At 51.7% G+C, this 13,484-nt stretch overlaps 1 protein-coding gene across 2 annotated transcripts in view, besides 2 other annotated features; it reads left to right on the forward strand.

Moving 5' to 3' along the window:
• Window positions 1,877-3,076: an enhancer, noted in NCBI's record as "MED14-independent group 3 enhancer chr11:74853637-74854836 (GRCh37/hg19 assembly coordinates)". NCBI's record gives its function as "activates an origin of replication core promoter dependent on BRD2, BRD4, P300/CBP and CDK7 cofactors, and independent of MED14, by STARR-seq in HCT116 cells {active_cell/tissue: HCT116}" and the evidence as "EXISTENCE:reporter gene assay evidence [ECO:0000049][PMID:35650434]".
• SLCO2B1 (solute carrier organic anion transporter family member 2B1) overlaps window positions 10,392-13,484 on the forward strand; it is a 55,443-nt gene continuing 52,350 nt past the window's right edge. For both annotated transcript variants that reach the window (NM_007256.5, NM_001145212.3), the window contains exon 1: window positions 10,392-10,682. In NM_007256.5, the coding sequence (NP_009187.1) occupies window positions 10,667-10,682 (16 nt within the window). In that variant the 5' untranslated portion in view covers window positions 10,392-10,666. The remainder of the gene's footprint in view (window positions 10,683-13,484) is intronic.
• Window positions 11,232-11,931: an enhancer, noted in NCBI's record as "H3K4me1 hESC enhancer chr11:74862992-74863691 (GRCh37/hg19 assembly coordinates)". NCBI's record gives its function as "activates a minimal SCP1, AML or CMV promoter by ChIP-STARR-seq in naive and primed H9 embryonic stem cells {active_cell/tissue: H9 hESC(naive and primed)}" and the evidence as "EXISTENCE:reporter gene assay evidence [ECO:0000049][PMID:30033119]".

A 13,484-nucleotide genomic window follows, 5' to 3' on the forward strand; every position in this document is an offset into this window, starting at 1 on the left:
ACCAGGGGGCAGTGTGGCCCCAGCGCAAGGGCATCAGCTTTGGGGGCCAAACGCACCTGGTCTCAAATCTCAGTTCCACGTACCACCTGTGTGTCCTTGGGCGCGCATGACTTCACTTCTCTCTGCCTCTGTTTCCTCTTTGGGAATGGGGGTAATAATAATGGCAACATTGGCTCGAGTGAGGTTTAGTGAGCTACTCTATGTGAGAGCTCTTTGCAAATCATCAGGTGCCTCAGTGCAATCGCCACCACAGCCACAGAGATTCCACCCGCTGGATGCCTTCCCCTCTGAGGTTTCTCACCCTGCAAAGCCTGAGACTCTTGCACTCAGTTTCTCTTTTGGATTATGCCAGTCCTGTGACAGGTGACCCTGGGTTGCCCCCATTCTTAGTCCAGTGTCTGAGAAGGGGAAGAAAAACTCCATTTGCATTGGAGCATTGGAGCAGCTCAGATGAGTGAACAGGAGGAAGGCTGCAGGCAGAGGAACTGGCTGATGGGAAGCTCCTCGAGTGAATGGCCAGCCTGCTCGATGCTGGTCAGCCAAGGACACGTGGAGAACTAGGGTATGACTGTGAGCACGTGTGTATTCTTTCAGGAGGAAGCAGGGAACACTTGGGTGGTGCTGGGAGGGATTGGAGGTCGTCCTTATCAGGTGAAGGATGGATCTGTGCTTATCCAGTGGTAAAAGGCAGGAAGGGCATTTGAGCTGAGGGAACTGTGCATATGCAGGCGCCAGGGATGAAAGTGCAAAAGGTAGGTTATAGGTGTGTGGTGATGAGCAGCAAATGTTAGGCTAAGAAATAGGCTTTGCTCTGAGGAGAATGGCTGGGCACAATAAGATTAGGGTTGGGAGCTGGGCAAGGTGTCTCACACCTGTAATCCCAGCACTTTGGGAGGCCATGGTGGGAGGATCACTTTAGCCCAGGAGTCTGAGACCAGCCTGGGCAACATAGCAAGACTCTGTCTCTACAAAAATAAAAATAAAAAAAATTAGCTGTGCATGGTGGTGCATGCCTGTGGTCCCGGCTACTTGGAAAGCTTGAGGTGGGAGGATTGCTTGTTTGAGGCTACAGTGAGCTAGGATGGCACCACTGCACTCCAGCCTGAATGACAGAGTAAGATCCTGTCTAAAAAAAAGATTAGTGTTTGGAAAGATGGCTCCAGTAGAATGTGGAGGATGGATTAGAACTAGGGAGACGGGAGTCACAGATGATTAAGGAGGCTGTGCAAGGGTTCTACAGGAACAAGGAGTGGTCTTTGAATTTAGGGAGAAGAGGGAATAAGACAGACAGAAATATGAAGGCAGAGTTGCCACACAGGCTGCAGGGATGGGGGCTGACTCTGAGGAGATGGGAGGGGCTCAGAACAGGGACCAGGGAGGGGCAGGTTTCCAGGCAAATGGTGAGCTCTCTGCTGAGCCGGAGCTGGGGTTCAAGCCCCTCCTGTTGTAGGAGGGAAACCTGAGATTTGACAAGGAAAGTAAAATGCCCAGGGTCAGTCAAAGGCAGCAGCTTAGTACTTGGATCATTCTGTATTCAACCTCATGGCTTAGGGACCAGTGGATAATGACTGAGTCCTCAAATTTGCCCTCTGAGACGGTTAAGTGCCATGGTTAGGGGCTTGGACTCTGGGGCCAGATTGTCTAGGTTAAGATCCTGATCTGCCTCTTACCAACTGTGTGACCTTGGCAGGTCTCTCTGTACCTCAGTTTCCTCATCTGTAAATTGGGGATTATAATAGGTTGTTTGGAGCATTAACTGAGCTGATACAAGTGCTTAGAACAGTGCTTGGCAAATAATGAGTGTTAGTCATGATCATTGCATCCATTTTGAAGAAGAAACTGAGGCTTAGAAAAATGAAGTATCTGCCCCATGCCACACAACTAATGTTGGCCGAGTTCCAGCCTAAGCTACTCCAAAGACTTGACTGGTTTGCTTAAGCTAACTGCTTGCCACCGCTGGCTCTTTCTGGAGGATGGTTGATGTCTTTAACTGAAAAGACTAGAGTCCCCAGCTGAAGGACTCTTAGGAGGAGATTCTGTGGCCCTCTAAGCGTCCTGTCTGGACCCAGCTCTGATTCTGACACCACCATTCAGCTTGTTTGCTGGAGAGATCCACTTGCTCCCCTGGCCAGAGAGCAGGCCAGAAACCAGGATCCATCAGGGAGGCCTGAGGCCTGGTCTCTCCCCTAGTTCCACCTAGGGGACAAAAAAAAGACATGCATTTAAATGAGGACAGTGCCACTTGGAAGGTGAGATGATTTTAGACGCGCATGCCAGGAACAGTTGGAGTGAGTGAATCTTGGAAGTGTGTGCACAGAATGTGGGGGGCGGATGATGTGTTGGGAGCATGATGTGAAAAGGAGAGAATCAAGCAAAACGCAAACTGTTGTGCTCTGAATAAGCAACACTGATGGAAGCAAGTTAGCCTGCTCCAGCCCCTCCTGAGAGAGCTGGCACACAGGCAAGTTAGGGTGTCCTACCCTGGTCCAGACACCAGAGAGAATCCACCTTGCCACGTGGTTCTTATGTGAGCCACTGCGGAGGCCCCGCCCAGCTGAGAAGCAGCTGCTTGTGTTCTGCTTCCTGCCTTCCCCATCCCTAGGCTCATAACCCAGCAGCAGAGGAAGTGACTCATCTTCCCAGATGAGATGGGCGGCATGCTTCCCCAGCAGCTCTCAGAAAATCTGCCCGAGCCACAGAAATGAAGCCGGGCAGCGGTAGGCTGTGGGTTTCTAGAGATCACTCCATGTGGTGCTGCTGCACTGACTTTCCAGAGCAGCTTCCTCAAGAGAAGAAAACAATCGTAACATTGCCTGAGTACCTATTACCCACCTGTAAGCACATGCAAAACACATTCAGTGATTAGTTCCATCCGTCAGATGAGAAAACAGAGGTGGAATGAAGAACACATGAATCTGAGTCTCCGTTTGGAAAGATGAGGGAGGTCTGGAGATGGATGGTGAGGATGGTTGTACAACAGTGTAGATGTACTTCATGCCACTGAATTTTACGTTAACATTTTATGTTATATATACTTTACAGTTTAAAAAAGTACTGCAGGCTGGGCACTCACGCCTGTAATCCCAGCACTTTGGGAGGCCATGATGGGCAGATCACCTGAGGTCATGAGTTCCAGACCAGCCTGGCCAACATGGTGAAACCTTGTCTCTACTAAAAATACAAAAATTAGCCAGGTGTGGTGGTGCACAGCTGTAGTCCCAGCTACTCAGGAGACTGAAGCAGGAGAATTGCTTGAACCCAGGAGGCAGAGGTTGCAGTGAGCCGAGATCATGCCACTGCACTCCAGCCTGGGTGACAGAGCAAGACTCTGTCTCAAAAAAAAAAAAAAAAACCGCAAACTAAGAATTAAATAACACAGCTACTAAGGGGGGAAGCCAGCAGTCACACCCGAGAAGTCCTACCCCAGCGCCTTCCTTGCTCTAAACACTCCTGTAATGTCTCATCTGCGAGTGAGGATAGTGACCTGCAGAAGATGTGATTGGACAGAGAGACAGGGGCCACTCAGTGTCAGGCTGAGAAGGATGGTCTCTCCTGGGGTTACTGAGAGCTGGGTCAGGGTTTTACACAGAAAGGGGCATGGTAGGATTTAAGGGTCAGAAAGTTCCCTCTGGCTTGCAAGAAGATGGGCTGGTGTGAAACTGGAGGTAGGAAAGAGGCCGGGGCATGGCCCAGACAAGAGCAGTGGTGGGCTAGGCCAGGACAGGGCTGCAGATTTGAGAGGCTCGTGAAGTGGAATGGACAGGTGGGGAACGCGGGCAGGCAATGACTGCCCTAGCTGGGTTTCTTCTGGCCCACCCAGTTCAGCCTCTGGACAGTGGTCCTTCAAGGTCCCCTCCCTGACTGAAGCCTCAGAGGAAAAGTCAGGGCACAGGCTTCCTCTCCAGCCCCCAGGGGGCAGTGTTGCAAAGTCTTTAGGGAGCAGGGCCCTTCTTCCAAATTATCCACGGCCTGGCAGGGGCTTGCTCCCATCGCGCATTTGCCACCCCCACTCACCCCATCCCCAACTCCCACCCTCGGCATCCCTCCCAGCCTTTGCTGCACCACCCCTCTCCCGTGTCCTCTCTCCAAGGAGACACATTAATAACTGTAATCCCACACTTGACACTTTAGGAAAACAGTGGCACAGCCATTAGCTCATGTGGGCCATGAGCAGAATGAGACTCCAAAAGACAGGGGCAGAGCAGAATGAGACTCTTCCCCCAACCCCCACCACCCCCATCCCCAACCACCATTAAAATTTTTTTTTTTTTTTTTTTTTTAGAGACAGGGTCTCGCTCTGCTGCCCAGGCTGGAGTACAGTGGTGCGATCATAGCTCACTGCAGCCTCCAACTCCTGGGCTCAAGGGATCCTCCCCACTTCAGCCTCCCCAGTAGCTGGGACCACAGGCATGTGCCACCACACCTGGCTAATTTTTAAATTTTTGGTAGAGACAGGGTCTCACTATGTTTCCCAGGCTTGCATCGAACTCCTGGCCTCAAGTAATCTTCCTGCCTCGGTCTCCCAAAGCACTGGGATTGTAGTCATGAGCCACTGCACCTGCACCCCCCACCCTCCACCATTTTATAATAAGGAAACTGAGGACCAGGCAGGGAATGAGACCTGACCAGCATGTCAGTGGCAGAGCCAGGGCTGGGGGCTGAAGGCCAGCCAGTGCCCAAGCTGGAGCCCTGCAGCACCTGTAGAACAACAGCTGTGAACCGTGGTCCCCCCGCCCACCTGCAGAGTCCCCATTTTTCTCCTGAGCTTCCTCCTACCTCAGGGGGCCTTCCTAGTGATTTATTCTCCTGGGTTGTCAGTGAGATCAGGCTGACCTGGCACGTACGTGTCATGATTTACTTCCTCCTCATCCTCTGCTTCCAGAATTATAAGAGTCATCACCATCACCATCACTGCTGTATTAATAATGGCTCATATCTGCTCAGCTCTCAGAATTTTGGAAGCACTAATCTATCCATCAGCTCATCCAAGCCATATGACAGCTCTGGGAAGGTGTTTTGCAGACAATGGCACTAAGGATCAGAGAGGGCAAGTGACCAGCCCCAGGTCACTGGGCGAGGCTGGGGGCGGTCTCCCAGGAGGAAGAAGCTGTACCACATACTTAGGAGAAGATCGGGCAAGATAACAGGGTTTAGGACAGTCCTGCCAGGAGGCTTCTTGTGTCAACTAAAACTAAAATCTAAGCCCCTCAATTCACTGAATGGACAACCCACCTCTTGGCCAAGGGGACCCCAGAGAAACCTTTAAAAACTGAGTTCTTGGCCATGAAGGGACAAGAGACACACCTCGTTTATCCTCCTCCCTTTTGTGGCTTAGACACTACACCTGAGCAGCATTAATGTTAAAACAGAGATCATAAGACTGACAGAATGGACTCTTTGTGGCAATAAGATGCCAAACTATAAACATGACCTAGGGTCACGCCAGGCAAGGGTTAAGTCCCACACCCATACACTAAAGAATAAACTATGTTCTCACTGCCACAACATTTCTCTTTTTCTCTAGCAGCTAAATAAGCCCTGGTCTTGAGATAAGCAGTGGTAAAACAATTTGCAGCTCCTCCACCGCCAGACACTAACTAACTGATCCCCGTTCCACCAGCCATAACTATAGCTCTGATTGGACTAGAGACTGTTTCAGGAATTTTTTCTGATAAGAGACCACCGACCATGGATGGGTTCTGGCCAGTTTATAGACACCGCACTTGAGCCCTTCATGTCCTTGCTTCACCTTTTGATGTATATATGCATTTGAATGTTAAGTCTCCAACCCAAGGTGAACATGGGTCTTATGAAACATGCATGTTTATTCCATATGCATACATTAGGATCACCTCATGAATATTCATAGCTCCTCCTATAACCTGTTGAATATGTATATTTGGTCAATGCGTTCAGCTTAAATTTCTGTCCAACCCCTCCTCCCTTGAAGTGTCTGTCTCTGGACTCTGCCAAAGACTGAGCTCCCCAGCCCATCAGAATGGCCACCTTGTAGGCTGTAACTCTTCATGAGAAATAAAGTCTCATACCTATAATCCCAGCACTTCAGGGGGCCAAGGTGGGAGGACTGCTTGAGACCAGCCTAGGCAACATAGTGAGACGCTGTCTCTACAAAAACTTACAAAATTAACCAGCCGGGGTGGCATGCACGTGTAGTCCCAGCTACTGGGGTGCCTGAGGCAGGAGAATCGCTGGAGCCCAGGTGATGGAGACTGCAGTAAGCCATGATTGCATCACTGCACTTCAGCCTGGGGGACAGAGTGAGACATTGTCTCTAAAAAAGAAAAAGAAAAAAAGGAAGAAAGAAAAGAAATAAAGTCTTCTCTCCAAATTTATAGATCTCATGATTTTTCAGTTATCACGTTTCATCTCTATTTCACAGATGAAGAAACAGCCTCAGAGAGCTTTGTACTGGGTCAGGGTTGAACTGACACCCAAGCTCATGCTCTTTCTGGGGCCCAGAGCTGTCACTTTCAGGGAAGGATGCAGTTTCCAACACAGTGTGTTTTCCCATAGGCTGGAGGGAGAAACTGCTGAGAGATGGAGGGAGTTGGAATCAGGGGAAGGCTGCTGTGGGGCGAAAGAGCCTGGAGGTGGTGGCTGGGGGAGGCAGCTTCCAAAGGGAGTGGTTGGAGGTAGGGAGAAACCTCCAGATGGGGTTTAAGCTGCTACAGGGAGCACGGCAGGGGCTATACAAGGGTGGGGCACTGGAAGAGCCAGGGGCTGTGTTGAGGTTAGGTGGCTGTGCAACCTGGACACCCACCCGGCCTGCACACCTGCTCCTCTCCTCGCAGTTAGGAGATGAGCTGTGTCCTGATGGAGAAGTTGTGCCAACAAAGGCAGGGGAAGCCCTGAATGCTTGGCAGGATGGGGCCTGTTTCTCATCAACCAGCTAGAGAGACTGAAGCCTGCTTATCTAGGGAGAGATAAACAGTGACTCCCCCGTGATCTCCACACTCTCCTGGCCCCAGTCTACCAATCTGAAAAAAGGAAAGGTTGAATTAAATGAGCTCCATATTCCTTCCACCTCCGACTTCTGAGGACCAGGCATCCATCCTTGCTGCCCTTGGCTCAGATCCCAGCCCCTGCCATATACTTGACATGGAGCCTCAGGCAAGACATGAGGCCTCTGTGAGCGGCAGTGTCCTCATGGGTGAAATAAGGAGGACATTGCCTTCCTTGAGCAGAGTTAACGAGCCATACACGGGAGTGTGTCTGCACAGCGACGGTCTGACTCCAAGGCAGCATCCAGCGGGCAGGGAAGGCTGAGGCTCTGGCTGAGGCCCTCGCTTGTCTGCCTGGCCCATGGCTCATTTTTAGATATCCCCTTCCTGGCTGCCAGGCCAGAAGGGAAGTGGGAACAAAGATGCTGAGGTGGTAGTTTGGAGCCGTTTTCAGGAAGAAGCCTCTGGGCACTCTTCCCCTTTTCACCCCGCCCACACCCCGTCTTCTGAGCCATCTCACAGTGATCCTCAGGACAGGCCTGAGGTGGAGGGTTGGATGTCAGGATCTCCATTTAACAGATGGGAAGACAGAGACCCAGAGAGGACAAAGGATCAGCCCAAAGTCCTACAGCAGGATTATGACAGAGCTGAGACCAGCCTTGAGGTCTTTAATCTGGGCCCAGCCCTCTTCCTTTGTACCCCAGAGCAGATAGTTCTATAAAATGAAGAGTCTCCTATTTTTCCTGGTTTATCAGAAGGCATTTTCCTAAGTGGGTTGGCTTGAAGAAGGTAAGGGCTTGGGTTCTGCAAACAGCCCAGGGTTTTATGAACAGCATCAGGCTTAGCATGAGACACAGGGCTCTGTGAATGTTATGGGGCCCTGGAAGCAGCCGAGGTTTGCAGACTGTGCTAGGCTTTTGCCAACGGCACAGGACTCTAAAAAAGGCATCAAGTTTTGTAAACTGTGGGAATCCACAGATGGTGTTGTGATCCACACGCATCGTGGCGCTCTGTAAAATGCACCTTCATATAATACTTGAACAAAGCACAGCAAACACCACACACTGGCAAATGGCAAAGCCCAGGTGCAAACCAGTGTGGTCAAACCTCAGACCTGGGCCACTCATAGCAGGAGCCGACTATGGGGTTCACCAGGGAGCTGGTCTGAAGGCATGTTAGCCTATGTCTCAGAGGCTCCTGGGTACCTGACCCTTGCTCAAGTTCCACAGCTCAAGTTCAGGAATATTCTTGGACCAGGCTTTGCCAGCCTGGGGAAGTTGAGGTAATAAATGAAAGCTGCTCATGCCAGAGGCTACTGTATATACCATGCCCTGGGGGTTATTGTGCATTGCTTGACTCAAAGATCAATGAGATAGGCCGGGCGGGCACAGTGGCTCACACCTGTAATCCCAGCACTTTGGGAGGCCAAGGTGGGTGGATCACTTGAGGCCAGGAATTTGAGACCAGTCTGGCCAAAATGGTGAAACCCTGTCTCTACTAAAAATACAAAAATCAGCCAGGTGTGGTGGCACGTGCCTGTAATCCCAGCTACTCGGGAGGCCGAGGTACGAGAATCACTTCAACCTGGGAGGCCGAGGTTGCAGTGAGCTGAGATTGTGCCACTGCACTCCAGCCTGGGCAACAGAGAGAGACTGCATTTCAAAAACAAACAAACAAACAAACAAACAAACAAACAAAAAGAAAAAGATCAATCAGATAAACTTAGCCAGACAAGCTGGTCCCCCTACCAAGACCATTCCATGCACAGAACTTCTTCAGGCCCTGGGGCCAAGGTGGGGGTAACTGGGCTTCCAGAAAGTTTAAAGGGATCTTCATACCTGTAATTTGGAGTCTGGAAGGTTGCACCCCCGCCAGTCTTCATGAGGATTCACAATGCTGACGTTCGTCAGAAGGATTTGGAGAGATAGACCCAATTTGGTTTTCTCAAGTAGGGTCTGATCAGGTCAGACCCTGGGTCAAACCCATGAGGGTCTGGTCTTTCTATTAATCCAAGCCAGTTCTTGACCTTTCTCAGTGGAATGGTCATGTACTCACATTTCTGGTTTCTCAAAGACTCATTTATTCATGTAACAAGTATCTATTGAGTGCCTCCTGAGTGCCAGGGAGATCTGTGATTATTTCACACATTCCCTACATCCTACTAGCACCCTCATACAGCAAATAGGAGCCAAGTGGAGCTGGTGTATGTTTCTCTGTTATTGCACCCTGAAAGTTAGACTCCAAACCCACATCCTCATTCCACGCAAAGACTTTATTCCAGAGACAGGGTCAGGTTCACTTCTGCATCTTGGATTTGGGGAAACCCAGATCTTCCTCAGAGAAGATATCCTGGGTGGAGGGAAAAGCCTGGTTCTATCATTAGAGGTTCAAGGCACCCACCACCTACTAGCTGGGTGATCTCTGGCAAGTTACTGAGACTCCATGCCTCATTTGTAAAATCAGGGAATAAATAACCTGATGTTACAGTGTCAAGGGGAGGACCCAGTGGGGCCTTGTGTGTGAAAGTGCTGTGCAAGCTGGGAAAGGCAAAGTGGATTTGCTTTCCCTTGCTGCCCTGTTCGGAGCCCCACCTCTGCCACTCCCTTCTCTGAGCTCCAGGCCTGCAGGCTTGGCTTCTCTGTCCTTCACCGAACCTTCACAGTGGCTCTGCAAGGGATTACTGTCCCTTCTTTATAGATGAGAGAATGGACGCTCAGGGAGATGCTGGGACTTGCCTGAGATCACTTGACCAGCAAATAACAACTGAGGTGGGACCCAGATCTCTCTGGCTCCTGAACCTCCATCCTCAGTCCTCAGTCCAGGAAACTCTGAGAATTTCATATTTTCCATTCTCTTCCCCTCCTCCTTTGCCTAGATGGCTGAAATTGATGGACCTTCTACCATGAGCTCCACCCAGGCAGGCTGCCACTGGATACTTAGTGGACAGAGCCCCTTCTTGCTGTGGATCCTTGGAGCTCAGGGAGAAGATGAGGGATTTAGTGAGAGGGCACGTGGGCTTGAGGGGGACAGGGGTTCAGTGAAAGAGGACAACTGCTAGATGGGGGAACAAGGGCTCTCTATGGGGCCCTCCTATCAAGGGAGGGCAACAAAAGTTCTGTGAAGGGAACAAGAGCTTGGTAGGAGAAGGGCTCAGGTGGGAAATGGGAGTGCAGTGAGGAGACTGGGGGATGAATGTGGAAGGTTGGGGAGCTTGGGGAGACCCATCAGCATCCCCCCTGTGCCCCCACCTCTCTGCTGCTAACAGAGCAGGGGAAAATACCTAAGGGAAATGCTGAGGCAAGAGGCTGGAAAAGGACAGGCTGAGGCTGAGCCTCAGGGAGGCGGGGTGCAGCTTCCTCTTCACAGAGAGGCTGGACTTGAACAAACCCAGCCTTCTATACAACCGTGGAGCCAGGGCAAGGGAGAGACAGAAGGAGCAAGTGACCCAGGGAGACAAACACTTGGAGATACTTGGGGCTGAGTTTGAGCAAGACTCCCTAACCTGTGTCTGGACAAGTCTGATGTCCTGTGTGGCCCAAGAAGAACTGACCCCGTGTCTGGAGCTCCCACCGTTATTGCATCCCTGCTGTGGCTCACCTGCTGCTGTCTCCAGGAGCCCCTGAGAAGATTTGCTTCCTCTCCCCTGCTAAGCTCCAGGTCCTGAGATTAAATTAGGGGCTGGAGCTCACTGCACTCCAGCAGTCATGGGACCCAGGATAGGTAAGTCCGAACAAATTAAGGAAGGGCCATGGAGAGCAAGCCTGGGGGACATGTTCCCAGAGAAAAGGGTGAGGCCGTAGAGCCAGAGTGGGTGGGATGGGTGCTCACAGCTGTTGGCACAGAGCCAGGCACATGGCCGGAGTTCAGTGAAGGTGTGTTAAATGAATGAGTGAATGACTGGAGGAGCAGGAAGGGACACGATTTACTCAGCTGGAGCCAGGGAACCCAGCCAAACCTCGTTGATGAGACCGAGACTTAGAGGACAACAGAAAGACAGGCCCCTGACCCCCTCTTCAAGCCGTTTCCCCTCTCAAAGGAGACAAAGATAGAGACAGACAGAGCAGAGAAAAAGAGAAAAGTGTAGTCAGACAGTGCAGACAGGCAGGCTCAAACGAAGAGGCACACAGGAGGTCGGAGAACACAATATCAACAGGTATCAGCGAGAGAATGCAGGGAAAGGTAGGGAGGTCAAACCGGGAGAGAGGGCTGCAGCAGAGACTGGGAGAGACAAAGAGGCAGGAGACAGAGCAGGAAAGAGAATCAGACGGGGACAGGTGACGGAGAGCTACAGACAGACCTGCAGGCAGCATCAGAAGATCCACCCAGAAGACCAGGAGATTGAGAGTGACCTGCAGAGACCTGCATGGGTCTCTGTGCAGTGAGGTCTCTTACTATAGAGTGGGGAGGAGGCTGGAGGAAAAAGGTCTTGAAGCTCTGCCTGCAGGGTGACAAGGAATCGCCTTGTAGCGAGGGCAGTGTTTCTGGGAACAGAGCACCTGGCCCAACACTTTCTGGGAAGGCAGTATGGGTAGAAGAAACAAAGGATCTTTCTACTGGGAGTACTCCAGGTTAGACGCCCTATAGCAGTCACCTTTGGCCTCTTTCCCAGCTGTTGATCCTCCCCTGGGCTGTGTGAGCCTCACAGCCATTTGGGCAAGGCCCCACTTGCTCCCAGAAGCCCAGCAGGGAGAGCTTCATAGGCCATGGAGACAGACCCAGCTGAGGAGCAGCTGCAGGGACTCCAGGAGAACGCAGCCATGGCTTGGGGACTGCAGTACGGCAGGAAGGGTGGGATGGATGCCTCCTCTCGGGGCACCTCACAGGACAGATGAGAATGAGGTCAGATTTGGGTGGGATGGTTGGGGGGGCGGTGTGAATGGGCCATTGACAAACCAAATTCCCCATCAGCCTTGGCTCAGTATGGATGGGAGGGATGGAGAGCGGGGAGTGTGGGAACTAACTAGAGACTTTGGCTGCACTACACCTCCCCACAAGTCCCCCCAGTACTATTTTTCTGACCCCTGCAGGGCCCAGCTCTGGAATATTCTCCAGGTGCCCACTGACCTTCCACACAGACAGCAGGAAGCTGACCCCAGCATCTGCCTGGTGGGCCATTGGGTGCCATCTCTAGCCTTGCTTCCCGAGACCCATTCTGGGCTGTGGCCAGGCTCACCACACTACTCTGAGGGGTGTGGGAATGTGGGTGGGGTAGGACACAGAGCCTGCAGCCTGGGAAGAGTCCCCAAGGGAGAGGGGAAGCTGTCCCAGTCAGGGCAGACACCAGAGAGGAGTGAAGTTCAGATCCGGCTCCAGCAGAGCCCCTCCACCCACTCACCACATACCCCTTAGGCAGCAGTTTCCCTGCAAGTGCTGGGGCAGCCATTCACACACACACAGTCTGACTCAGAGATTTCATCTTCCCACCTGTTCACCTTTGCTCAGGAAGCCCCTGCCCACATCCCATTCTGGTGACATTTGCCCTGTTTTCCAACTCTTCCAAATGCCAACTCCTCCAGGAAGCCGTTCCAGATTCTTCCAGCTGGGGGTAACCTCTCCCATATGCTGTTTGATGACCTTCTCTTTGAGGTTCATCCCTCCTTGTTTCCGGTGTTGCTCTTCCTCTCTCCAGCCCAACTGTGTTCAAATGTAAGCCATTCTAGGGCAGACAGGTGGGGCGAGGGAAAGAACCAGCAGTCCCAGGTTCAAATTCCAGCACTGCATCACTGGCTTTAAGAGAACTCAGTGAAATGTCCTTCCCCTTTTCAATAGGTGAGAAACTGATGCTCAGAGGGGGCAAGCAAGGTCCAAGCTCACCCCAAAGTAAACAGCAGAGTGGAGGCCAGCCCCCAGGTCTGCCTGGTACCAGAGCTCTTCCTCTCCGTGCCATTGCCCTTGTGGTTTCTCTTCCCTTCCACCAATCCCACACAGGGTGAGCATGGCCAGGGAAGGAGATAGCACTGCAAATGCTTAGAAAAGTGACTACACCTGCATGTCTGTGGAGCTAGTGAGCTGCCCAGTACCGTTGGAGGAGCGGGGGTCACTGGGCAACATCTTGGGAAGTTAAGCCAAAGAAGTTGATGGGGCCCAGTCACAAGGAACTTGTATGCCAGGTTAGGCACATGGACTTTTTCTTAAAGGCAATTGGGAGCTATAGAAAGTATCTGAGGAGGAAGTGGCCCTGCTTCAGTGGCCCAGAGAATCTGTGTCCTGGGAACATTCATTATAACCCCAATCATGTGTACAGTACTTTTTTTTTTTTTTTTTTTGAGACAGAGTCTTACCCCGTCACCCAGGCTGGAGGGCAATGGCGCCATCTCGGCTCACTGCAACCTCTACCTCCCGGGTTCAAACGATTCCCCTGCCTCAGCCTCCCGAGTAGCTGGGACTACAGGCACTCACCACCACGCCCAGCTAATTTACGTATTTTTAGTAGAGATGGGGTTTCACCATGTTGGCCAGGCTGGTCTCGAACTCCTGACCTCGTGATCCATCTGCCTCAGCCTCCCAAAGTGTTGGGATTAC

Source organism: Homo sapiens, chromosome 11 (genome assembly GCF_000001405.40).
Source record: "Homo sapiens chromosome 11, GRCh38.p14 Primary Assembly".
In the NCBI taxonomy this organism is placed as follows: domain Eukaryota; kingdom Metazoa; phylum Chordata; class Mammalia; order Primates; family Hominidae; genus Homo; species Homo sapiens.